The sequence below is a fragment of the Homo sapiens genome, chromosome 15, assembly GCF_000001405.40.
Source record: "Homo sapiens chromosome 15, GRCh38.p14 Primary Assembly".
NCBI lineage: Eukaryota > Metazoa > Chordata > Mammalia > Primates > Hominidae > Homo > Homo sapiens.
Genome location: NC_000015.10, coordinates 95,564,188 through 95,592,086, shown reverse-complemented (window position 1 = coordinate 95,592,086; position 27,899 = coordinate 95,564,188). Strand labels below are relative to the sequence as shown.

The window sequence follows — 27,899 nt, the reverse complement described above, 5'->3', positions numbered from 1 at the left end:
TTTCATGCCTCAAAAATGTCGTCTTTTATTTATACGTGGTAAGAAGAAGTGAAAAGATCTTAGGCAGGATATCTGACTCTCTGGAAACTTCTCAACTTCTAGATCATGTGTTTGAATCTAGAATATAAAACAGCACAGGTTAGGACACTTTCATTTGAACAAAACTTTGTTATTCCATTTTCCATTGTAAATGATGCCTTGTATTTTGGCCTGTTAACAGCATAAAATGTATAAACCATTTAAGATTTACATTGTTCTATAGACTAGACTACTCATTAGAATAAAACAACCATGAACAAAAAGAAAGAAGAGAAAGGTGGGCTTAGTAAATTCACACAGTGCTTAGGAAATTCACAAAACTGAGTTCTCAGGATCTTGGGAAGGAATCCCATGAAAGTGTTAAAACATTTTGTTAAAAACCAGGTTTGCTGTATTTATATCCTCAATTCATGAGCTCATTGTCAGCTCACCAAATACGAATGTACAGGTAACAAAGTGGTACTACGGTTGCTAAATCTTGGATTCTCTAGGTATAGTATTATAGAGAAAGAATCAGGCCAAATACCTAGGCAAGTGATCTGAACTTTCATTCTCTGTTTTCTCATGTTGAAAGAGAAATAAAGCTCACACTTTCTATCTCCATCACAGAGAGTTTGTGAAAACTAAATGAGATGATGAATGTGAAAACACTTCGAAAATCGTAGTCATATAATTAATATTGATACTATTATTACTCAATTCAGTCACTTTCTAGATCATCTGGCTGCTCACCGAGAATTGTTCTGAAGAAGGGAAGGCTGAAATCAATTGCCAAATTAAGATTCAGAATTAATCTGTGAATTTTTTTCTTCTACCAGATATCCCTGGTAATTGAAAGTTGATGTATGATTCCATTTGTAAAAATGGGAAGAGTAGCTCTGACACTGACTTACTAAGTTTTCAGTAAAATAAATGTACCTTTGATGGGTTTAAGATAATGAAACATGGAAAGGCAGTCAGACAAGCAAATGTGCTCTTTTTAGCTTTGTGGCTGAAGTGTGTCTATAGCCAACATGAAGATGCTGTAGAGTGCCAAGTAAACACTTAACACAGTGAAGTCGTCCCTCCCCAAAACGTTCTCAGCTTGTGCCTACTCAATCCCTTTGTTCTGATAGAAATGTTTCTGAGACTCGTCAAATTATACCTCTGTAAGAAGGGCATGTTCTGAAGATTAGAGATGACTAATGCTATATTTCCTACTAGTGTGATTGTCTCAACTAAAAAAGCAAAGTAGAAACTCCAAGAGAGGCCAAAGAAATGTCACCACTGGTAAAGAGTCCTAATAAATGCATAGATTTAGAACCTTATTTATGTTGAGATTTATTTAGTGAGCACACTTGCCGTCTAAATGCTGGAACAAACTGTTTCTTTTTGCTGGTTTAATAACTCCAAAGACCTAACTGGTTGTAAAGGGTAAAGAGTTGCTTCATTCACTTACGATTCAGTCATGTTTCTTAGACTTGCATAAAGTGGTAATAATAAAACACTTACACAAACACAGTCAGATCTTTGAGTTAAGTGGCTTTTAGCATTGCCTTTAGCTAAGTGAGGTTGAAAAATTGTCCTGAATGAAGCCTGGCCAAAACAAAATCTTTCTCCCAGTGGCCATTAGTTGCCTTCTTTCTTAAACTATATGCCTTCTTAAAATATATATATATGAAGGTCATATACCTTCAGGGAATTCGCATACCTGGCCAACCATATTAAGATACTTTACACTGATGTTATATCTAGCCAGAGATATTATTTCTTTGCCTAGGGCAGATCCAGATGGGCTGTTTCGCCAAATCTGGACATGGGAATTTGTACATAGTAAATCATTAAATGGCCAAGAGAATTCCTTATATTGCCAAACAGGAAGAAAAAAACAGCAAAAAATAAAAAAACCTTTATTTTGATGGCATTCATGCCAAAGTGAACTATGTTGGCTTTTAACAGAGAACATGGCAAAAGAGGCCAGAATGCAGGCAATGCATCTCTTATCTCTTCTTTTCTCTTCAGTGTCTTCTCTTGTTAGCAGCATTACACTCAAGATAGTGGACTAAAAGCGTGGTTTACATGCTGTGTCAGCTGGAGCCCTAAATGTTCCAGTCTCCACTGGAGATTGCCATGGTCTTCAATGAAGGAAGAGCCAAGAATTTGCAAAGTCAGGTCTCTGCTCTCAAACACAGAAGTTCCGTTTCTGTATACTGTATACATTAGACCTCCACTTTAAGTTTTTGTTGAGAAAAATAAATGCCTCTTGAAAAGAATAAAACTTGAAAACATATTTTCAGAGTCCAGAAGCACTGCTTTTCTACAGAGCTGTTGCTTTACCTTGCTATGGCTAGCACTGAAACTGACACTCAGAGCATGTACTGTGTACATAGAAGATGTGCCTCCAATTAGTTCTGAAATATTCGATGTGTCCAAAGTCATTGAGTAAATGGGGCAGATGGTCCTTCAGATTCTATGTTGTGTGTCTGGTCCACTTATGGTCCCGTCATTGCATGTAATGGTCCATAAAGACTGGTAAGGGACACTTTCAGGTGTGAGGTTGTAGGTGCCAGATTTAGCAACTATTTGGCACATGCTTATATTAACATGGTATTTGTTTATCTGCAATTTGATTTTAGCTAGGCATCCTATATTTTATCTGCCAACCCTATGTGGTAGAAAAGTTGCAAGGATTGAGCAAGTTAGTATTTGGTGAAGAAATTAAATCATTCTGTGCAGACCACATTTTAAAGGACATGTCAGGTAAAGATGACAAAAATGGTAGTTTTGAAGGCATAATCAATGGTCAGAAAAATTTGTTTTTGGTGTTCTGTTTGTAAGAACTTGGAGCAATAATATATTTGTAGCCAGAGCTGGCCAAAGCACATGTTTGGGGCACCAGTGAAATGGGAGAGAAAGATCAGCTTAGCAGAGCTTATCAAGAATTTTGGAATCAGAAAATCCATCAAGGCAGGAATAATTTGAATTTTAGGATTTCACATGTGCATGCACACACACACATACACAATAGTTATTTAAAATAGTTTTGAAAAAGAATATTTAAAAATGTTTATCTGAAAACCTGGGGAAGTTGCATTTGCACACCCCTAATCGTCATTCATTTTTGTTTCTTTTCCTGGGAAGATTGCAATCACAGATTGCAGTCCATAAACGTATACACTGGTGGTCCTGCTTTTAGCCCTTCTTTCCCTGTCCTAGTGTTTGAAAGCTGTTCCAAGCCACTTGCCCCACTCACTGCACTGTGCATTGAATGGCACTTTCTCCCTCTAAGCTAACATGGCCTTCCTATTCTCTTTTATCCAAAATCCCATTCTCCCCACCCCTATCTATCTCATTTAAATTGTTCAGAAATGCATCTTAGACTAAACTCATCCGTATTAAAGTATGGCTGTATTGACGCATTAACGGTCTCAGGCACGTTTGCATTTTTAAATTGGAGATTGAGCTAATCAAAGCAAGGGTCCTGGATAGAGTCATTTGAGAATGGGTGGGTTGGGTACCTTCTTCCTTTTATCCATTTACACAGGAAAAGGCCTTGATACACAGAAGTGTATGTAAAAGCACCTTAAGAGTATCTATTTGTCACAGAATCCGAAGTTCAAGTTAAAATGGCTCTTTTAGTTTTACCTACATGGAGTAAGAGTTGAGGAAACATGGATAAATTTGATTATGAACTCTGCTACTAAACTCAAAAATAGCTAATTTGCCAGCTGTCTTTTATTAATAAGTCAAAAGAAAAATCCTGAAACTGCTTAAGCTTCAACTGAAATTTTTTGGCACTGTCCTCTGGGTCCAAGGGGAAAAACATGGAATGAGGTCGAATTGAACATTCTACTGTCAACCATCAAATCACTGATCCCACTGTCCTCTTCACATAGAGTCACATAAAGTGTGTGTTATACACATACGCAAGCCATTTAATCAATTGGTTGCATTTTAAATTTGCATCCTTTCTGCAAAGTCTCTGGGTAGAAGTATAATTAAATCATTCATTACAATATATTCTTAAAATATAACAGCAGCCATAGCAACAAATAAAAACCTCGCCTCTAAACAAATGCATTTTATGTTATTACTTCAACTGGAAGGCTTTACTTTGTGCAACTTCCTTACAATTTAGGTTTTATCTCATGGTCTATGATACAATACTGGGGCTCTATCTGAACCTATAGAGGAGTGAGGAAGGGAGCCAGGAGTGCAGGCATCCTTTTCAGAAAAATACATCTGGTTTTTGTGAACACAAATTGAGACAATGTGTGACTTTGGCTTTTTTTAGAAAGGAAGTGTATATAGATTAAAAAAAAAAACCCTTATCAAACTGCTTGGCTCATTTTTAAGCTGCTTTAAGGGAAAAGAAACCAACAGGCACATGAACCTTCAGAGTCTGTGCTGGCATTTCACACGCTTCCTAAAGTTTGATTCAGCTTCACCTTTCTTATTTAGCACAACGAATATTTGCATATCTTAAGGTTTCCCTTTTTTCTAACCCTAACTTTGTCTATTTCTGCACTTTACCATAAATTTGTATTTTTCATCTTCTATGTTGGCTCATATTGGTTGAAATGTGCTAATGCATGCTCTCTGATGATTTGGAAGCATCGATTTCTCTATATAAATTATGGATGTATTCTAAAACCATTTAGTTGAATTCAAACTGGAGATACACATATATGTATATGTACACATATATACATATGTATATGTTTATACATACATACATGTATACACACATATATACATACATGTGTTAGGCAATCTTAACACTAACCAGAACAGTACATTAGTTATCTATTACTGTGTAACAAATTAGAGCCAACTTAGCAATTCAGAATGATACATTCATTATTTCCCAGTTTCTGTGGGTAAAGGGCTCAGACGTGGCTTCACTAGGTCCTCTATTTCAGGGTCTCTGACTAGGCTTCCATTGAGATGTTAGCTGGGGCTGGGGTCTTGTCTGAGAGTCCCACTTCAGGGAAATGATCTACTTGTAAGCTCATTCAGGGTGGTAGCAGAACCTAGTATCTGGAGAGCTGTTTGACTGAGGACCCCCATCCCTTGCCAACCTGGCCTTTGCAACATGACCACTTATTTTATTAAAGCATATAAATCCAGAAGGCAATAGAAAGAGTCTGATAGAAAAGGAAGGTCTCATCTTTTGTAATTTAATCATGGAAGTGAAATCCCATTACATTTATCATATTCAATTGGTTAGAAGCAATCACCAGCCCAGCTCTCGCTCAAGGGGAAAGGGCTACACAAGGGAGTGAATACCAGAAGGTGAGAATCATCCACAAGGGGGATGGGGTATGTTTCAGTGTCAGCCTGCCTCAGATGAGTGGGTAAGAAAATGGTAGAGCAAAAGGTATGCCTCATGTCTCATTGTCAATAAATCTTATTTTAACTTAATCTTGTACAAAAGTTTTACAAAATTTTTACTCATGCGTATTATCTTGAGATTTTCTTAGCCACAGTTTTTACTTTAGTAATAACACAGGCCTTACATTAAGGATTGGCTCACCAGTCCTATTTCCCCTTCCAGTAGAAAACAGCTGTTTCTCAGCGTACCTTGCATGGAAATGACTGGTTCAAGCCAATGGAATGTAGGCAGAAATGATATTTGGCTCTTCTAACCTGGCCGTGTATCTCTTGTGCTCTTTTCCACCCATGGCGACACAAGATGGAAAAAGCCTGGGTCCCTCGTTATTGCTCAAATGAGAGCCCCTAAAAGACCTGCCTGACCTGCATCAGAATACGACTTGAGGCTGAGCACCGTGGCTCAGGCCTGTAATCCCAGCACTTTGGGAGGCCGAGGCAGGTGGACCACTTGCAGTCAGGAGTTCGAGGCCAGCCTGGCCAACATAGCGAAATCCCATCTCTACTAAAAAATACAAAAATTACCCAGGTGTGGTGATGTGTGCCTGCAGTCCCAGCTACTTGAGAGGCTGAGGCAGGAGAATCAATCACTTGAACCCGGGAGGTGGAGGTTGCAGTGAGCCAAGATGGCACCAGTGCACTCCATCCTGGGCGACAGAGTGAGACTCTGTCTCAAAAAACAAAACAAAACAAAACAGAATACGACTTGATCTAGCAATTAATCTGCATTTTGTCCCCTGATATTTATCCTGATTTATTTGGACCCCAGAAGTGCTAGTAGTGATTGTCATCTACAAATATCTCACCAAATAAGACACTCATATTTCTATAATAATAATTCTGATACATGATTGGTTATTTCCCAAGCTTTTGCATACATTAAACTACTGGATACTCACAAAACATAAGGACAGTGATATCATCCTGGGTTAAAGATGGAGGAACAACTTAAATGAAAATCACTGTAGGGTGAACAATGCACATATTTGGAAAATACATTTCTAGAAGCTGTTTAAAAGTAAGGGTGAGACCACAAGAAAATTATAGTTGCCAATTTGCTCTGCATAAGGAAAATGACAAGAAATTTGAGATACCAGAAGGAAAAGCCCAGAAGAGAATAAATAAGAGAACAAATAGAAGTGAGTAGACGGTGGTAGAGAAAAAAGGGTTCTGCTGGGAGCGATGCGTTGTAGGGCCTTTCCTTCACCTTCTCTAAGAAATCTTTCATAATTTTTACATTGCTTACCAATGTATGTGTGTGGGGGGGGTGTCTGCAAGTGTGTTTGTGTATAAGTAGGTTTTATTAGGAGATCTCAAAAAGCATGAAAATGGTAAGCGCTAAGATCAGGTCACAATTGTCTACATGACTAAAGTGAAGCATGGAAATTCTAACTGGTGACATCAAGGATATGCAGTCATTCAACTGAAGTCAGATTTCAAGATGCAAACCCAGATGAGCTGGGTTCTAAAACCTCTCTCCTTAACCTATACACTGCAAACTCTCTCTTCCTTTCTATAAAAATTGCTCTTTCTGACCAGAAGGAAAATTTTAAGAATGACGCATAAATAAAATAGAGAGAAAGGAAGAAAATATGATTTAGTTCCAGAACCAATATAAAAATTGGAATAATCAGAGATTAAAATGGAAAAGGTAAGTTGCATTTGAGAGATGAAGGCCTGAAATAATAGTCAGAAAAGAAGAGCGTAGATTTTTGAAGATGAAGTAAAAATAGCATGAAAGGTCTTGGCAGCCATTTGGCCTTTAGTGTTGAGGAAGAAAAAGAAATAAAAGATGACTTGGAGGTTCTTAATTCCAGTGATTAGAAAGATGCAGTGCAAATGAATCAAGGTGAAAAAATAGAAATTAATTTTTTATTCAATTAAATTGAAACACTTATTGAGTCCTACTACAAAGAAATATGTTTGCCATTGTTCAGAGTCAAGTGATGCATAAATCATGGCACCTGGAAAGTGAGTGTGATGTTGTTTCGGTGGTTAAGTGTGAGATACTTTGAGGAATTTAAGGAGAAATCCTTCGAGGTGATAATTCTGTTGTCTTCTACATAGAAGAGCAGTTTAAAATAATGGAAGGGATAAGATTACCCAAGGATGGAAACAGCAACTATTTCAATTTCATCTTAAAATACAGACTAGATGCTATACAAAGAGCTTTGGATTAGGACTAGCTAAATTATTTTTTATTCTCTGTTTCTAGTAAATATATATGACCTTGGAAAGTTGGATTAACATCCATTAAAGGCTGATGAACTAGGTAAGTATTAGGATATCTTTTGCTGATTATGCTTAGCTGTGAAAGGAAGAGACTTGACTTTTTAATATGTGTAAAAGGTATGACTAGGTCCATATATTAGCCAGGAAAAGGCAATAGTGCACTATGTAAACAACCTCAGAATTTTAGTGACTCAACACAGCAAATGTTTATTTCCTTCCCATGCAGAATCATTCTGAACAAATTTGCATTTGTGCAAATTACTGGGGCAGTGGTACTTTAAGCAGCCCCCTGATACTAATCCCTACATCTAGAATACTGCCCTTCCCATGACCATGACAGAAGGAGGAGCTGCAGGTAGTTCAAATAATGTCAATGAAATGCTTCAGTTTCAGGTGACACAATCACGTCCACTCATATTTTACTGGACAGAACTGGTCACATGGCTACACTTTTAACTTCAAGGGGGCTGGAAATGTTTCCTTCCAGGTACCTGGCCTTAGGGGAAAACCAAATATTTGTGAGTGTAAGTAATAACACAGGCTGTCATGCTTACTTGATAGTTAAAAGTAGAGAAAGTTCCCCCTCTCCCCCCAGTTTCAAAGTTTTCCTGTTCTAAATGAAATTTTATTGATATCTCTGAAACAAGTTATTTCCCTGTCCCCAAATCTCACTGTTTCTCCATCCATTCCATTAGAGCCTATCTTGGAAAGCAAATACTCCATCAGAATATGGTATTACATGACATTGTAACCTTTTTCCCCTCCAGAAAACCACCCTTTATGAATAAAACATGGGTGACCTTTAAAAACTTAGCAGTTGTACTAGGTGATTGCATATTAACAAGCTTTTTGAAGAAATAGGACAGGCACTGTATGTTTCAGTTAAGGATAGATAATAGAACTATTCAAATAATTTATTATTTTATTCAATATGAAGGAATGCAACAACTATTTTACAAAGTCTGCTTACACTTCCCTGAGTATAATTGTATGTGACTTCCCATTTATTTAAATTGTGTATGTACCATTAAGTTGAAGATTCCCATGGAAATGACAATTCTTATCTTCTTGATTTTTTAATTTTTGGTTAAAAATCTCTGAAAAATCCAAGATTTCTTTAAGCAAGAAGCAAAGTAAGGCAGATTTATACAAAGTGGAATTGAATCTCCTGACTACAAACACAAATCTGCAGGTTTCTCAGTACCTGGCATAGAGAGGATACTCAATAAGTTATTATTGAATAGGAAGAGTGTTCTTCAAAGCTGAACAAAAGTGAAGGTAAGGGGAGTTTTTCTAGAGAATTCTGTCAGTGCTATGAGGAAATATTTAATCAGATCACACAAAAAAGACAGTTTCGGTTTGGGCTTAAGGGGAGAAATATCGAGAGGGGAATGAATGAGGTGAGGAAGATTGAATCAACCCCTCAATAACATATAGTTAAGAAAAGGCCTCTGCTCAAGGCAGGATGTTTCTAATTCAATTGTTTAGGAGAATTATTTTCAAATGAGACCCTCCTGAATTGTAGGGTTCTAAGGGGGGATCTCAAGAAGCCCTAAAATGGATGAAGGAGTTATCTACATCCAGGGAAGCTTGGCATTTGTCTCTTTATAAAAAAGGGTTCAATATAAGATTTCACTTATGAAAAGGTCCTACTGGTAAAAAAAAAAAATACATGTTTTAAAACCATTTGTTCAGAATATTGTAGTTCTCTTGGGCAAAATCGAACGTACTGGTAATGATCAACATAATGAGATGCAAGGTACAAAGACACGTGCTTTCCTTTTCCCTCAATCTTGTTTCCATCCTCCCTCAAAAATCTCCAAATGTGTGCTTTTTTTAACTGCAGTGACATACTAGGATACAAAGGCTTAGGCTTTATTCTGGTCCTAGGAGGTACATCAAGGGGCTCGGAGGGGCCACGTGACTCCCATCACAAAGAAGAAAGTAGAGAACTTCATAAATGCAATAACACTGTTAGAATTACACGAAAACAGCTCTATGTAAATTGCATTATGCAGGTCATAGTTTTATTTTTTCTATCACAGTGCAAAATGTGTAGGGTTAAAAAACTCTCACAGAGACACTGGTGACACCACAGCCAACTTACCCACCTCACTCCCCTGTATTATAGTCTAACTATACCTGCCGAGCACAATCACCAGCCAGTTTGGACAACTCATTTGAGCTCTTGACAGTTCAGTATCTTCATCTGTGAATACAGAATATACTAGCCACTAAGCTAATGTCTGGGGAACTACTTTGAGAAGCAAGATAGACAGTTATTATTATACTTGTCACTGTTGCTTTTGGTAAACTAGTCGAATCTCTGGTATACAAACTCAGACAAAAATCCTTTAACATCTTGGGAGGTTTTTTAAAAAGTTAAGTGGGTCTTTTAAACTTGAAGATCTGCTCAAGTAGAAGATATTAACAATGCAGTTTTTTAAACTTACAAAATGGAGGGATTATTTCTTTAACCGATGAGGAATAAGGGTGGGAAAGTTTCGATGCTGCTTGATCTAATAAGAGACTACTACTTTGCAAGCAACCAATGTTTTTGTCACAACATACGCTTTAAGATTTTCTTTAAGAAATACGTACATTTCTGGCCGGGCGCGGTGGCTCCCGCATATAATCCCAGCACTTTGGGAGGCCGAGGTGAGCAGATCGCCTGAGGTCAGGAATTTGAGACCAGTCTGGCCAACATGGTGAAACCCTGTGTCTACTAAAAACACAAAAAATAGCCAGGCATGGTGGCTCTTGCCTGTAATCCCAGGTACTCAGGAGGCTGCGGCAGGAGAATCACTTGAACTCGGGAGGTAGAGGTTGCAGTGAGCCGAGATCAAGCCACCGCATTCCAGCCTGGGCAACAGAGTGAGACTCTGTCTCAAAAAAAAAAAAGGAAAAAGAAAGAAAGAAAGATACACATTACTGGAACATTTGTTTATGTGGACATCAATAAGGTACATACTGCACTATTTTTGCAGTAGCAGGACTAAGGGATGCCTGTCACCCAGCCTTGCTAGAAGATGGGGCCATATGAACTCTGATCTTTCTATCACCTAGTCTCACACTCAGGAATGTACAGGGGAGTGATTTTTGCAGCAGGCAAGCAAGAAGGGATAGCGCTAGGGCTCAGAAAAGTTGGAGAAGGTGCCAGGAGAGGAAAGGACCTTTCTGAGGGTGAGAAGATTGAATGTCTTCAGGAAACTGAAGAATCTTGTTTGAGGGAGGCACTTTCCTTGGAAGGGGCTTGAGGGCTTTTGTCTTCATTTGGGTAATAAGCTGTAGGCTTTATCTGTATTAAAGGAGCTTGTACCATTGCCTGTGCTTATTGACCACTAGAATGTCCTGCATTGACCATAGTCAATCACATCACCATCGCTCTTGTGACAACTTTTCAGTATTTAAGGCCACCAAATGGAAATGATCAGTGAATGAGGTTTAAATCCTGCAGAATATTTAAAAAGTAGTTAGTACAGATTCAAAATTATTAAGCACAAAGAATAATTCAACACATAGATGTAGATTGTTAAGCATATATAAAACAATGTATAAATAACTCATAGAACTTTTGATTAATGTTTGCAAGGCTCAATAAAGCCATTTACAGACTTACATAGACATTGAAATCTGGGTCTCCTTTCAAAGCTGTAATACTCTTAAGTGGTAGAATATTATTTTTAAATTATTTTTATACTGGTAAAAATTCTTATAGTAACTGAGGATTTAATATTTATTAAAATTTCTGGAATATTTATATATTATAAATATATAAATATATATAAATGTTCATATATATACAGATTTTTGAAATTTCTTAAGTTATCAGCTATTCTCATAATTTCAATGGAAGGGAGTTGATTACATTTCAGCAGTTATCAATATATCCCATTAGGGATTTTACCATAAGACTTCTTGAATTGTTTAAATCTGAGGGCTTCATTGTAATGGTCCATCTTCCCTAGTACTCTTTTAATTCAAGTATAGTGGTAACTTATCCCTTTCAATCCTTGAGCGTAAAGTAGGCAGTTTCATTTAATCTACAATTATGGCAATAAGCCTCATAACTTTGCTTTGCTTTGCTGGGCAGGCTTGGGTAAGATTGCCTCTAGGTGGCTCGATGCTGCTTCATCTTTTTGCTGTATGTGCTGCCTCTCCAGAGAGCCGGGAATAGATAAATCTGAGCATTGAGAAGACAAAATCACTTACATTTGTCATTTTAGCATTTAGGCTCCTAGGATTGTCTAAAGGATTCCTGAGATAAAAAATAAAGACATTTCTGTGCAAGAGGGAGTGGAGGAATGTTTGCATGCCCTTTTCCCTAATGTACGCAGCATCCACAACGTTCACTCTGGGAGCCAATGAGGGGAGGAAGGGAAAGAACACTATACAGGGCCCGCTTGAGAAGTTTTCTCCAATGTGTCATTAAGGTGTTTCAGAGCATCTGTGTGGCTGCCACATGAACTGGATGGGAACACAAAGTAATCAATTTCAGTTGAGAGCACTAATTTATCACCTTGCCATCTTTTATTGCAAGGTAGAGAATCTCAACCTCTCGTTCACTTGCTCTCTCTCTCTCACACACAAACCCCTCTGCACATATACACACTTACCTCCTATACACACTTACAAACTCTTACACTTAATACATCTCAGTTTTTAAAATACCAAACTGCCAAATAAGAAATTTATCATCTTTTATGCTTTAGGACAGTTTGAATTTGGGATTGTGAAGACAGTTGTTTAATCAACATTTTCCTTTGATATGATGGGAGGTTTTTTTTTTACATGGTTTCCCTTTGACTCCTAAAATAAGTTTGAGTACGATTACAATATTAATGTAAAGCTGGCTCCCAAATAAGCTCTCTGTCAGCAAGCAAAGTCTTTAGCTTCTTAGAGCTCAAAATCCCAATCTATGGGAACAATTTAATAACGCAGCTCAAATCTTAATTCCTAGGGTCAATATGATTACCAAAGTCAAACTTTAAAAATGGAAACGTAAACCCTTCAAGTACTCAGAAGGAAGTACTCATGACCATGCACCCTCATTTCGCTCAGCATCAAAGCCAGAATATTGTCATCATAAGTTATACCTGCAAGTCCTGAGGGGTGTCCGGCATGACAAGTCCAAGGTAGAATCCCTTATCAGATAGGGAACGGGGGAAAGAACAGAACAGCACAGGAAAGAGCATGAAGAGAGGGCTATAACCCTCCAAAAATAAATTTTGCAGATCTTAAAAGTCCCCAAGGCTCCAAGCAAATGTTGAGTTATTTTTCTCATCATTGCAGGTAGAATTTGAAGGAAACTAGAAAAGCAGCTGGGATATTTTATTGAGCTCCTGTTTTTAACTTTTTTTAAAACTAAATCTAGATTTCGTTTTGCCATCCTGGCTACCTAATTTTTGTATATTAAACCATGCAACGACTATCTTCAGAATGTGCCTCTCCTGGAACTCTGGAAATTGTGTGTGTTATTTATATTATGATATGCAGCACCTCTCCCAACAAAAAAATAAATCTTTTTTGGCCACTGGGGCCAAAGTTCATCTGTCCACCCCAGATGTGTTTTTCTTCAGAATCCTTACAAGATCTCAGTGTTTTTTTCATAAAATCTAAAATCCCACCACAAACATCTTTTTTCCCTTTTAACTCCTAATATATTTTTCTGCAAGCCTTGATGTTCTCTCTCTAACTCCCAATATTTCTCCCTAGACCCCAATTTCCTAATCAAAGCACATTACTGATCTGATGCTTTCAACAGCCTGGTAGCACATCAATAAACTAAAGATTATTGTGCTTTGTCAGGTTTTATTTTGTAACATTATGGGAAATTCTCCGCTGTCTTGGATGAGTGCATAAACTCTGATTGCTTGACAATTAACAGAGCTAGTAATAGAAAAGGCAATGTAATTTACCTTCATACAAGGGATCTCAGTTAACAAAAATTAAACTATTGAACTCTCCTCTCCAAGGAAAGGGATGTCGCCTCATTATGTTAAAAAGAAAAACAGATTCCAGTGGCAAGTGGGCCCTCAGTCTGGCTGGGTGAATTTATTGTTCAGATTATGTGTTTTTCTGACATGCATACAAAATTATGGCTTTTAAACTGGACTAAACTCTCTCTTCATTAAATGAGTATCTCCCCCCTTTGGTACTATAACTCAAAGAGAGCATTCTAGATAAATAATGTCAAGGGGGAGTATCTTCGTGTGCTTCATGGGTTGGATGTTGAGGACATTTCTAATCTGCAGGGCTGGAGTACAGCTCTCTCTCTCTCTCCCCTTCACCCTCTGTGTCTCTGTCTTTCTGTATCACAGCACTAAAGAAGAAAATATACAGTGTAATTAAATACAGAGCCATCACGCTAAAAGTGAAGAACTCCCACAGAGGAGAGTGCTGGGTTTTACAGACTCCCACGGAGACCATATGAAGCTTGTATTCAAAATGGCATCTGCGGCTTTGAGCCTGCCTTCTGCCCTTTCAAAGATTTCTGCTTAGTTCAAAGAAATACTGTGTTTGAACACAGACATCCTGGGAACTTAGGAAGTGGAGAGAGAAGTTGAGGCTCTTCTTGTTCCTGCTTCCTTGAGGTTTCAACCTCTTATATCTGTTTTCTAAAACGTTTTTCAGGCCCTCCAAACATTCCCGGATTGGATGGCTAGAATCATTGGTCCCTTGCCTTAGGCTAGGTAAATGATGAACAACTGTTGGACTCTCGAACACTGCAACATCAGTTTCTGCCTTCAAGAAGTTTATAGTCCAGTGGTCAGTAAACTATGGCTCAGAGACCAAACCCAGTCTGCCATCTCTTTTTGTGTGATTTGTGAACTAGGAAAGGTTCTCACACTTATAAACAGTTGGGAAAATTTTCAAAAGAATGTTATTTCATGTGACGTGAAAATTGCATACAATTTAAATTTCAGAGTTCATACATGAAGTTGTGTTGGAACACAGTCATTCCATTCATTTACATATGGGGTATGGCTGCTGCCACACGAAAATGGCAGAGTTCAGTAGTTGTGACAGACGTTGTAAGGCAGGAAACACCTAAAATATTTACTGTCTGGCCCATTACAGAAAGAGTTTGCAACCCCTGTTATAATCTCATGGAAGAGCCACTACTAATAACTGTAAAATAATAAATGAGCAACGGAAAACAGTATGTTCCTGATTGTTAAATGGGAAGCTGGTGGAAAATTGCCATTTTAATCGAGAAAGATATATGTCTCTGAGATTGCTTTTGTAAGGAAAAGTCTTCAAGAAGCAAAAGAGGACAGGAGCCAGTTTTAAGAAATAGTAAGTTTTGAGTGGATAGAGAGTAGCAGGAAAGACGTTTCAGGGTGGCTAGACAGAGCAAAAATGAGATCTGGCATGGCAGGAGTGAGGCTCCAGGAAAAGATGTTTGTGATCTACAATGAGAGTGAGAAGTCTAGGTTATTTAAAATATCAAGGGTAAATGAGTTGTCTTCTGTTCTGATTGTGATATTTAGGAATAGAGGGTGAATCACTGAGAAAAGAAAATGTAAAATTTAAAAGTAAAATCAAGTTCAAGGGAAGTTAGGCTGGGGAATTAAAGACATATGCTTCATGTCATTGAAACAGTTAATCCTGTTTCAAAAGATGGCAAATAACTGACAAGAGACAGAGAAGCATCATGAGCAAGGAGGATCTTATTTACATATAAAATAAGCTAAGAAGGTGGTAGGATCCTAAGGTAAAAACCACAGGAGCATATCCACCATGTTTCATGTTACATTTGGGTCATTTTTCTGTAACCATTCTTTAATAGGACGAGGTCATGGCTATAATTTTAATTATATGGTTAATTCCAAACAGTTATCTAATAAAATCACACTGCATGAGAAAAATGGAATGTGCAGTTTTACACCTGGCTATTTCCACTTTAGAATAAAACACAGGATACAGGAAGTAAAGAACATTATGAGTTGTTTGCTAGCTCAGGCCTCTAAACCATGGTATGTTGGAGAAGTATTTTAAAATGTGTTTGGCTTTGGGATTTAACCAGAAAGTAATGCAAAAGAAAATACTAATTATGAAATTATGATATTGTTGCATTAAATTTGATTTATCATGTAATTCAAACATTTGTCTTATTTTCTTTCAGTATTGGAGTTTGGACAACTTCAATGGCTAGCTTGACTTTTATTTACTATCTGGTTTTTTTCCCCACAGAATGCTATTTGACTTTATGATATTATTGCATTATTTAAAAATAGTTTCCTCTTTCATTTGTGGTTATGGTGTGAAGGATGGAAAGAAGCACATAAATATTTTATTTCCAGGTGTTTAAGATGCTTTGCATAACTCAGGAACAGAGAAGTAACAGGAAAGTTTGGAAAGCAGAGCTGGGGGGCACTCACCCAGGACACAGTGGGAGGATGGAATAGTTACGTGCAAAAGAAAATGCAGCTAATTAAGTACGTGGAATTCAGTTGGATGAACCCCAAATATTATTTATATCTAAGTGTATGTAAGAGGGTGAAGGGAAGTGGGTGCATCTTTTTACAAGTAGGTGTGACTTCAGTGTTCATTGATTCTCTGGTTAAATATTGAGCATGTGCTCTGTTCTCAGAACTGTGTCAAGCACTAGAGATAGAGAAGCGAATGAGGCAGAGACTCTGTACTCAAGTTGTTCATAGTCTATCGAGAAAGATAGACAAGGAATCAGAAGATGAAATACAGAGTGATAAGTGCAATGTTAAAACTCAGCAGTAGACTTGTAGCAAATGTCTACTAACCAAGACCTGGAGCCAGGAGTGCAAGTCATTGCAAAGACTTGGGGATGCCAATATGAGAACATCTCCCTTCCCTATTCCCCATCTCTTAATCCCCTTGGGGCATAGCAAGTACAGTTCTTATGTCACATAAGTCCCCTAAGTTTATACGGGAGCTGAAAAATTCCTATCGCCTAGTGATGTTGTAGCTTTTGTAACATCTTAACAATATAAACAGCACATTACCTTTTCTATGTTAGGTTATGGTTAGATACACAAATACCATTGTGTTACAGTTGCCTACAGCATTCAGTACAGCAATATGCTGTACAGGTTTATAGCCTATACCATATAGCCTAGGTGTATAGTATGCTATACCATCTAGGTTTGTGTAAGCACACTCTGTGAAGTTACCGCGGGGTGAAATTACCTGATGAGGTCGGGCACGGTGGCTCATGCCTGTAATCCCAGCACTTTGGGAAGCTGAAGAGGGCAGATCACTTGAGGTCAGGAGTTTGAGACCAGTCTGGCCAACATGGTGAAACCCCGTCTCTTCTAAAAATACAGAAATTAGCTGGCATGGTGGCACATACCTGTAATCCCAGCTACTAGGGAGGTTGAGGCAGGAGAATCCCTTGAACCCAGGAGGCGGAGGTTGCAGTGAGCCAAAAAAAAAAAATTACCTAATGATGCATTTCTGAGAATGTATCCCTGTCATAAGCGAGACATGGCCATAGTTTTGTGTGGCAGCAGTTTACAAAGCAAACACTGAGAATGTGAGCCATGGATCAGCTATCCTGTCTCTCTACAACTTTTCCTCCTATTTATACTTTTTTTCTCTCTCTCTGCTAAAATATAACTGTGAAAACAATGTCACTGAGACAGGGGGAACTTTTAGTACCAATCAGAGGGATTTATAAGCCTTTAAGACTAGAATTTACCCTCACAAACAAACAGTAATGTGTTTAAAGAATGAACAATCATCTTAGAAAAATATTTGAGATCATTGTGACTCGTTTTTTAAGAATAGGAAGTACATGTTGCATTTAAATATCTAAGAATATTCCTTTGTTTGGCTTTCACAGATATTTAGTTGTGATCATTTCTGTTTGAAAGGAAAAAAAAAATGTCTTCACTTTGTCCCTAATCCACAAACACAGTCCAGGATGAACTGGCCGGTGCTAATGCGAGGTCATATTTGAACAGTGAGCTTTCAGGCTAGAGAGTAGTTTCTGAAGTTAGATAATAATGAATGTTATGGATTTGTGCATTGAGTTTTAAAATTGCCCTATGCCGCTGAGCCTCCTTACACAGGCGAATAATACGAAGGGGTTAAGATGAGGGCATTAGGCCTAACTGGTGAAACGTTCTCCTCTTCTCATGAAGAACAAACTTTCATCAGATGTGTTGAAATCTCCTACTTGACCCTTGTCTAACCTTCAGCCCCAAATGCAAAGTAAGATACAGCTTATCCCAGAAAGCAGGTTTAAACAAACAAGCTAACAGTCTACTACATCTTTGAGGAGTCTGATTTTCCTACTTTCCTTACACACATGCTGCTTGGGAAACAAGAAGCCTATGACTTGGAGGTGGGTCACAGAGTCCTTGTCTGGAGGTTGTAAGACTCACGGCAGCTATTTGATCACTGCTGTCCAAAATATCTGATTACTTTTTACCTGACTTTTCTGGAGCAACAATATGCGTATGGTTCTGCAGTCTTCACAGATTTTTATTATATGTAAGAACTTTTAAATTCCTGACAATAATATCTTACTTAACCCAAAGCATCCTCATTCATTTAGTTGGAAAATTGTAATAGTTTGATATTTTTTGAAATTGTAATGACTGTCATTGTATAATGTTAACCAACAGCTCCTTTTATTTAAAGCTTCTTTTCTTTTAAAGCTTTAGATTTCTAGTGTAGGTAAAAAGGAAAAATGTGAACCATTTCTTACCCAGGGTGAATTTTTCAATAATACTGAAATTGAGATGACATCCATGCTGTAACAAAATATGTAGGAAACTGTACCTTCTGATTCCATTTAGGAGATATTAGATAATAATTATAAAAAAAATTGCAAAATTATCCATTAGTTACACAAATAGAGATACTTAGATATTGTACATAGAGTTGCTACTTAAACAACACAGGTTGGACTTGTGAGGGTTCACTTATATACAAATTTTTGTCCAACTCTGCCATGCCTGAGATAGGAAAACCAACTTTTCCTCTTCCTCCTTTTTCTCAGCTTACTAAACCTGAAGATAAAAATTATGAAGACCTTTATGATGATCCACTTCCACTAACTAAATAGTAAATATATTTTCTCTTCCTCATGATTTTCTTAATAACATTTTTTCTCTAGCTTACTTTATTGTAAGAATACAGTACATAATACATATAACATAGAAAATAGGTGTTCATGGACCATTTATGTTATTAGTAGTTAAGTCTTTGGGGAGTCAAAAGTTATATGAGGATTTTCAACTCCACAGGATGTTGGCAACCCTAACCTTTTGTTGTTCAAGGGTCAACTGTGTTTAGATATAACCCATAGATTGCCTTCGCTGGCTGATGAAATCTATTGCTACATTCAACAGAAAAATCCATAATTAACATTCATTCTTAAATTCTTATACCGAGGTTCTTTAGAATGAATTTTTTTTTCTTTAGAATGAATTTTAACTACATGTATTTTTTTTTCTCTCTCTCTGTGTATGTGTGTGTTTAGTCCTTTCTATAATGAGTATCTGAGACACCGAACTCTGAACTCTGCATGCACCATGAAGCCCAATCTGTGAATAAAAAACTCTCTTGTTCATGTAGTGTTGAGTACCATTTTTTTTTGTCAGTGATGATGGGAAGGGGATGCACACTCTTTGAAATTGATTTTAAAACCAGTAGTTGCTCTGAAATACCAAAGATTCACTTCATTCATCTGTGGCCCAGGCCTGAGAAAAAGCCCAGTGAAGAGCCTAGAGCCATTTGAAGATGTAGATGGAAGAAGACACTAGACCAGCAAGATGCAGTCAAAAAGGATCAGGGGACATAAGGGTGTGAACTGAGCAGGAGGCTCATCAAGGGGATAGTCTAGGAAACTATCAAGCTACAGGATTCATGACCCCCAAACTCTCACTGGGAATTTCTGATCCCAATTAAGGAGTGAATGGTAACTAGGCCACAGGGTTTCTAATCCTAAGGTAGGAATTTGCATAAAGCTGTATTCCTATGTTTTTCAATCTGATGCTTAATAACTTGAACCCACAGTAACACCCAAGGATGTGTCTAAAGTCTGTGGTTGATCTAATTGTCATGCTTTTATAGGCAATCTTTCTTTTTCTTTATCCTTGAGGTGTTGTGATAGCAATACCTAGGTGCTGACTTAATTACATGCATCCTAATTAGTACTTGATATAACTTTTGACTACTCATTTCTTTTTTCTGAAAATTTCTCATCCTTTGTCTCTTAGAATATTGACTTTCCACAAGTCTCTTTAGTTTCTACTTGTGGGACTTCCCTCACATGTATATTAGAGCTGCTGTTTCTATCCTCCAAAGCTCTTAGTCCTTTATCCATAATTTCTACCACTTTATGTCTCTGTAACTTTTTCTGTCTTCCAGTTCTCTAATTTTATTTTCTATGGTGTCTAATCTACTGTTCCAACCATCTTTTGAGTATTTTTTATTTTAATGAGTAGATTTTCTTTTCAGAATTTTACTTAATTTTTTAATATATCAGATTTTGTTTTATAATACCTTATTCTTGTTTTGTGGGTATTAGCCCTTCTATTGTATCTTTGACACAAGTAAAAAAAAAAAAGATGTGTTTCATCTTTCATTTTTTAACTTGAGTAAAACCTTTATGATTGCTGTTTCCCTTTCTTGAGTTACTCTGAGTGAGTTCACCCATTTGGGATGTATGCATATTATTTTAAAAGGCATTGCATCGGCGTGATGGCTGGTGCCTGTAGTCCCAGCTACTCGGGAGGCTGAGGCAGGAGAATGGCGTGAACCCAGGAGGCGGAGCTTGCAGTGAGCCGAGATTGCGCCACTGCACTCCCGCCTGGGCCACAGAGCGAGACTCCGTCTCAAAAAAAAAAAAAAAAAGGCATTGCATCTCCTCAAATTTTATAATTCTTGATAGGTGAGCTTATCATCCGTTAGTTATCTTATGTAGAATTGCAGGTGCTCTCTATAATGCAGCTTTGAGAATATCTCTGCCCTATCCCAAAACATATCATCTCTAATCTAGTTTTAAATTACAGTCTTTAAATTCAAAATATCAATCCTCCTGCAGTGCAGATGAAATGTCCCAATCTCATTTTAGTGAGCTTTTTCTACTATAGTCATGTATGTATGGCATACATCTGGGCTAAACCTCTAACTGGAAGGTAGGAATATTGAAGTTCTTCATCACAGATTATGAACCTGTGTTGTAGGACCAGCTCTAACTGCCTGCAGAAAACCCAATTTTAGACTTCTTATATGCTTGAAGCCTAAAACCTCAAATCTAGTTTTCCCTGCCTGGATATTGGAACTCCAGCCTCATGTCCTATAGCCAGACTAAAAATACCCCATTTCCTCACTGTAGGCTTTGCTGGTTTATGTACTCCCCACCAACAGGTTTTTCTTTCTGTTTCTAGCCTCTGAAGATTTCCCATCCTTAGGGTTCAGCTCTGTCATGGTTTTTAATGTTATATGTTAAAATATTTTATTTAGCCTTTCTATTGTTTGAAGTAGGAGTGGGGAGGCTTTAGCCTATGCTCAGCTGCCATCTGACATGAATTCTTTCTCTACTAATACTAATATATGAGTCTTCCTTTTGCCTTCAAATAACTTGACTCTAATTTTTGTCTAGGGTATTTAATCAATCTATGATCACTTAAAGTGGGTGTAAAAGAGAATAAGAAGTTACAATGATCTAAAATGGAGATTTAGTAGAACAGCCTAAGCACATCCTTCATCCTTTATTGAGGCATTGGCCCAATATCGATTTGAACTGTAAACAAGAGCTGATTTATCATTTACAAAGACTTGGTAAGAATGCCTACTCTTATAAGAATGCCTCTGTGTGTGTGTGTGTGTGTGTGTGTGTGTGTGTGTGTGTGTGTGTGTTTGTAATATGCTAAACATTTGAAAAAGGCTTTGTGACTTATTAGTGTTCTTTGGCTTGCATTCTCTTTCTTCACTTTTGAATATTTTCTTTCTGCACTTATTAATATAACAATTTAAAATTATTTTACTTATGTAAATTCACTCTTTCCAATTAGATAGGATATTTTTTGAAGTACAGGCAAGCCTCACTTAACTTTGCTTTGCTTTATTGTGCTTCACAGGCAGTGCAGTTTTTACAAATTGAAAGTTTGTGGCAACTCTGCATTGAGCATGTCTGTTGGTGCCATCTTCCCAAAACCATATATTTTTTGTGGCTCTATGTCACATTTTGTGAATTCTCACAGTATTTCAAACCATTTTTATTATTATGTCTATTGTCGTGATTTGTGATCAGTGACTTTTAATGGCACTATTGTAATTACTTGGGGGCACCAAGAACTGCTCCCATGTAAGAAGATGAACTTAACTGATAAATGTTTTGTGTGTTCTGGCTGATCCATCAGCTGGTTGTTCTCCCATCTTTCTCCTTCTCCTTAGGCCTGCCTATTCCTTGAGATACACCAATACTGAAATTAGGCCAACTAATAACTCTACAATGGCTTCTAAGTGTTCAAATAAACGAAGATTCCCACATCTATCACTTTCAACTAAAAGATAGAAATGATTAAGCTTAGTGAAGAAGGCATGTCAAAAGTCAAGATAGGGCGAAACCTAGGCTGCTTGCACCAAACAGCCAAGTTGTGAATACAAAGGAAAAGTCTGTGTAGGAAATGAAAAGTGCTACTCCAGTGAACACATGAATGATAAGAAAGTGAAACATCTTTATTGCTGATATGGTGAAAGTTTGAATGGTCTGGATAGAAGATCAAACCTGCCATAACATCCTCCTTAGCCAAAGCCTAATCCAGAGCAAAACCCTAACTCTCTTTAATTCTATGAAGTCTGAGAGACGTAAGGAAACTGCAAAAGAAAAGTTTGAGGCTAGCAGAGATTGGTCCATGAGGTTTAAGGAAAGGTACTGTCTTCATACCGTAAAAGCGCAAGGTGAAGCAGCAAGTGCTGATACAGGAGTTGCAACAAGTTATTTAGAAGATCTAACTATGATCATTGATGAAGGTGGTTAAACTCTTCATTGATCATTGATCAATGAAGTGATAAGATCATTGATGAAGGTGGCTAAACACCAAACAACAGATTTTCAATGTAAATAAAACAGCCTTTTATTGGAAGAAGATGCCTTCTAGGACTTACATAGTTAGAGAGGAGATGCCAATGCCTGGATTTAAAGCTTCGAAAGACAGGCTGACTCTCTTGTTAGGGTCTAGTGCTGCTGATGACTTTAAGTTGAAGCCAATGCTTATTTACCATTCCCCAAATCCTAGGGCCCTAAAGAATTATGCTAAATCTACTCTGCTTATAGTGCTCTTATAAATGAAACAACAAACTCTGGATGACAGCACATCTGATTACAACACGGTTTAGTGAGTATTTTAAGCCCGCTGTTGAAACCTACTGTTCGAAAGAAAATATTCCTTTAAAAATGTTACTGCTCACTGACAATATGTCTTGTTACCCAAGAGCTCTGATGGAGATGTTCAAGGAAATTGATGTTTTCAGGCCTGCGAACACAATGTCCATTCTGCAGCTTGTGGATCATGGAGTAATTCTGACTTTCAAGTCTTCTTATTTAAGAATTACGTTTTGTGAGGCTGTTGCTGTCATAGATTGTGATTTCTCTGATGGATCTGGGCAAAGTACATTGAAAATCTTCTGAAATGGATTACCAATTCTAGATGCCATCAAAAACATTACTGATTCATGGGGAGAGGTCAAAATATCAACATTAACAGAAGTTTGCAAAAAGTTGATTCCAACCCTCACAGATGATGTTGATGAGTTCAAGACGTCAGTGGGAAAAGTAACTGCAGATGTGGTGGTAATAGGAAGAGCACTAAAATTAGAAGTGGAGCATGAAGATGCGATTGAATTGCTGCAATCTCATAATAAAACATAAAGGGATAAGATGCTGCTTCCTATGAATGAGCAAAAAATGTGGTCTCTTGAGATGGGTTTGCTCATGGTGAAGATGCTATGAACATTTTTGAAATAAAAACAGAAGATATAGAATATTACACAAATGTAGTTGAGAAAGCAGTGGCAGGATTTGAGAGGATTGACTCTTAATTTTGAAAGAAATTCTACTTTGGGTAAAATGCTGTGAAACAATGTCACATGCTACAGAATCATCTTTTATGAAAGGCAGAGTCAATCAATGTAGCAAACTTTATTGTTGTCTTATTTTAAGAAATTGCCACAACCACCCAACCTTCAGCCACTACACCCTGATCAGTCAGCAGCCATCAACGTGAAAGAAAGACTCTCTACTAGCAAAAAGATTATGACTTGCTGAAGGCTTAGATAATTGTTAGCATTTTTTAGCAACAAAGGATTTTTAATTCAGGTGTGCACATTGTTTTCTAAGCATAATGCTACTGTACATTTACTAGATTACAGTACAGTATAAACATAACTTTTATGTGCAAAACATTTATATGCACCAAAGAATTTGTGTGATTTGCTTTATTGCAATATTCACTTTATGGCGGTGGTCTGGAACTGAACCCACAACATCTTTGCTGCCTGCCAGTATTCCAACAATTTGTGGAATTTTGAATCTGAAAGGAATGGGGGTCATTATCCTGTCTGATATTTCCAGGCAAAGATCCACAGATTAGTGAGGCAAACTGTACTTCTCTGTGACTATTCTCCCCTCTGACTAGTCCCCTTAGAAATTTACATCTCAGTCATTTGTATTCTGTTTTTCTCACATTCTACCCCAGACTTGGAATTTGGGTAATGGATCTAGTTTGTAAGGACACAGTATAGTTTAGGCTGAGAAAGGCAAATTTCATCTGGTTTCTCACTTTATAGGTGAGAAACCTATATCATATCTCATTTGAGATATGGATACCATATCTCAAAATATTTAGCTGACATGAGCAAGTTCATGGTGTTAGTGGGTAAGCAAGTGACTAAAACCACACTTGTGTCTCCCAGTGTCTTTTCTTGCCAGTAACCTACTCTCTATCATATGTTTGATATCCAAGTGTTATGACAAATTGCACCTCAAACCCTTTGGGTTTCTTAAGGAAAGTATGAGATTTTGAACTATCAATAAATATTTAAGAAAGTAGTTTTGATTCTAGAAGTATTTATTAATTTAGTTAACAACCCTTTATTAAACAACTACTATATCCTAGTTACTGCCTGTCATAACCTGGGTTCCCCAGCAGACAGAGCCTCAGACAATGACTTAATGTGCTCCCTTTGTTATGAAGTACAATCCTAGGAAAGCAAAAGTGAGAGAAAAAGAGAACAGAGGAGAAAAGAAGAAGAACCCATATTAGGGTTACTTGTGGAGCTAGCTATTATAACTGATCTTGCATAACTGCTTTCCAAGAAATCACTTAAATGGCTGTGCCTCAGAATAGTCACATCTAGAGGAGGAAAGAAGACTTTATCCATTGGCTCAGGTCTTCCACTGGACAAAAGTTGGCCACACAGAGTGCTAATTCTCCTGCATTTTTGGATATGTATCAGCCTCAGTAATGAAGACTTGGTGAAGGATAGGTATGAAGTGAGCCTGTGCCTCTGCAATGCCCGGAAGAGTCCTCCCACAAATGGGTCTCTCCAGTGTTAGCTGAGATATGTAGCCAAAGATTCTGAACACAGGTGAAGCTGAGAGGACCCGATACATATGCTAAGATACCTATGATAATGGCTTTCTCCTCCCGAAGAGGGTAACGACTCAACAATTGCTGTGTAAGTTTCACAAGTGATGCTGTGAGACTGCCTATGAGAGCAAATTAACACAGTGAGTAGAAGGAAGGAAGGTGGTATCTGAGCTAATGCTTGCAGGTGAGATAGGAGTTATCTAGACAGAAAGAGACTAGATAGAGGAGAGAGGGAAGAGTGTTTTAGGGTGAGGGAACACAATATACACAATTATAAGTAAGAGTGGTCGTAACTTTGAAGAAATATAACGAGTGCAACATGACTCTGTCCAAAATCTGCAGACCTTATGTGTAGTAAAGAAATATTTTCTACCTTTAAGCAAATTCATTCATTGCAAAAGAGGTATAGCAAAAACATTGTGTAGAGACAAGCTCTGTGGAAGAAAGAAAGCAGCTGTATTTGAATGAGGGAAAGAACACAGCTCACCGCCTAACCATCCAGAAACCATCAAATATTCTTATTATAATGTAATAACAATAATTAATAAGGATGATAGACAATCATTTGTATTTGCAGTAAAAGAGTAATTGTTGCTCTTTTTTTGGTAGTGCCACTATTGAATTAATCATGCCCTTGCTAAATTACTGAAACACGGTGTTATGCTATTGTAGGTGTCCGAATTCTTTGCCACTGTTTAAGACTGTTTTTATTGTGAAATGTCATAGCCTTGTAATGGCAAAATTAAAGAACTGATGAAGGTTTGGAAAAAAGGTAACTTTTCTGCTCGTTTCTTTAAAAATGTGCCTTTTTTATGTGTATGCGTATTCTTGCTATTCTAGATGGAGGACCAATTGACTTTGTAAGTAATCCCTAAGCAAGACTGATAAAATAAAGAATATAATTTGTTCTCCCCAAATTTGGTGGATTGAAGCCAGGAGCATAATGACAATTTAATGGGCTTCATCACGTCACTTAGAAATATAAAACCTGTTAATGTGGAAAGAGAAGGAATCTCCAGTGTCAGGTTACAGAATTGGAAAACGCACACTCCTCAGTCACTGAAATCTTACTGGTAGGTTTGGTTGTTTGCTGTTTAGCATAGAAATTCAATGTGACAACTTAAAATAGTTTGGAAATTTGGTATAAGTATCCTGTTTTAGAAGTGATTTGTTCAGTCCATTTATTCCTACAATGCTACTAAACTAATTCTACAGAACGAACTCCCTTGAGTGGTTCCCAATTCTCTAAATGACACCCCAAATTCCTTATTATGCTCATTGCAGCCTAACTTTGTAAAATGTCCATAGTGTTTCTCCACGGGTGAAATGCCGTATAATAAGATAAAAAAAACACTTAAGAACTAAGGTCATGCTTTGCTGAATCAACTTTGGTACCAGTTGCAAAACAGTGGTTACTTTTTCATTGTCGATTACGCATTTGGCAAAACAACTTGATCTTTTGTTCATCCACTGGGAATTAATGCATAGCAAACATCATAATTATATTAGTGAAAATTCCATCAGCCCTAACATATCTTTCTAGAGCAGTGAACACACTATGGTCATTATGAACAAAATTGACCGCGATTCCTTGGCTGATGCTAGCATAATGTCTGATGACATCAGGGGTGTTTTAGCCATCCTGTTGTTGCAAATTGACAGCATTTTAATAGCATGCAAGAACAAGACAGTTCTGCTCAGTGGTATTTTCATATATTCAGAAGGACCGTCTGCTCTCACAGCTCATCGTTACATGGATTTAGATAGAAAATAAATCCTACCTCATCTCTTGAAAGAGAATTATATGACCATACTGTAATATGTCTAGCATATAAGGCAGCTGTTATGTTCTCTCTAACAAGTATTATAAAGCTGTTCTCAGCCAGGCTTGGTGGCTCATGCCTGTAATCTCAGTATTTCAGGAGACCAAGGCGGGCAGAACACCTGAGGTCAGGAGTTCAAGACCAGCCTGGCCAACATGGTGAAACCCTGTCTCTATAAAAATGCAAAAATTAGCCAGGCATGATGGTGGGTGCCTGTAATCCCAGCTACTCAGGAGGCTGAGGCAGGAGAATCGCTTGAATCTGACAGGTGGAGTTTGAAGTGAACCGAGATCGTGCCATTGCACTCTAGCCTGGGTGGCAGAGGGAGACTCCGTCTTAAAACAAAACAAACAAACAAAAAAGCTGCTCTACTCTACTGGTGGAAAATATTCATTCCGTGCTAAGCACCTTCAAAACCGAAGTTCTTGATACAGGGTTTGCTCTTAGAACCATTGTGGGGCTTTGTGGAGGGCTAATTCTGAGCTAACTTAGAAAGACAGGAATTGCATAGCTGGAGATCAAAATATTACCTTTATTCAGGTTGGGTGGGAGAAGGTTGCCTTAGGTCTGGTAGCGAAGAGGTTCTTCTCTGAATTCAACTCACCACTCTGTGACAGACAGCACTGGAAACCAGGGATTTCCTGGTCAGGACGAGGCCTTCTCTGCTAAGTCAACTGCAAGGTCAAGAGAATGTAAGTCCTTTTCAGGAGTGGTTGATCAGGAAGCAGCTGAGCCAGGTAGGCTTGGTTCCCCCTGCCAGGCTCATCATTCATCAGGTAAGTCAGCTCCACCCTTGGGGAGGAGGGAGTGGAGGAAAGGACTAGATAGCTTTGCCACGGGCCCTCCA

The 27,899-nt window shown here is 37.8% G+C and overlaps 1 long non-coding RNA gene across 1 annotated transcript; it reads right to left on the bottom strand.

Annotated features, from left to right (window-relative positions):
• On the bottom strand, window positions 1-27,720 carry LOC105370995 (uncharacterized). Its single transcript, XR_932653.1, has 2 exons — window positions 27,583-27,720; window positions 1-117 (listed from the first exon to the last, which is right to left on the bottom strand). It is a non-coding gene; the product is annotated as an uncharacterized LOC105370995 (long non-coding RNA).
• Between the last annotated feature and the right edge of the window lie 179 nt (window positions 27,721-27,899).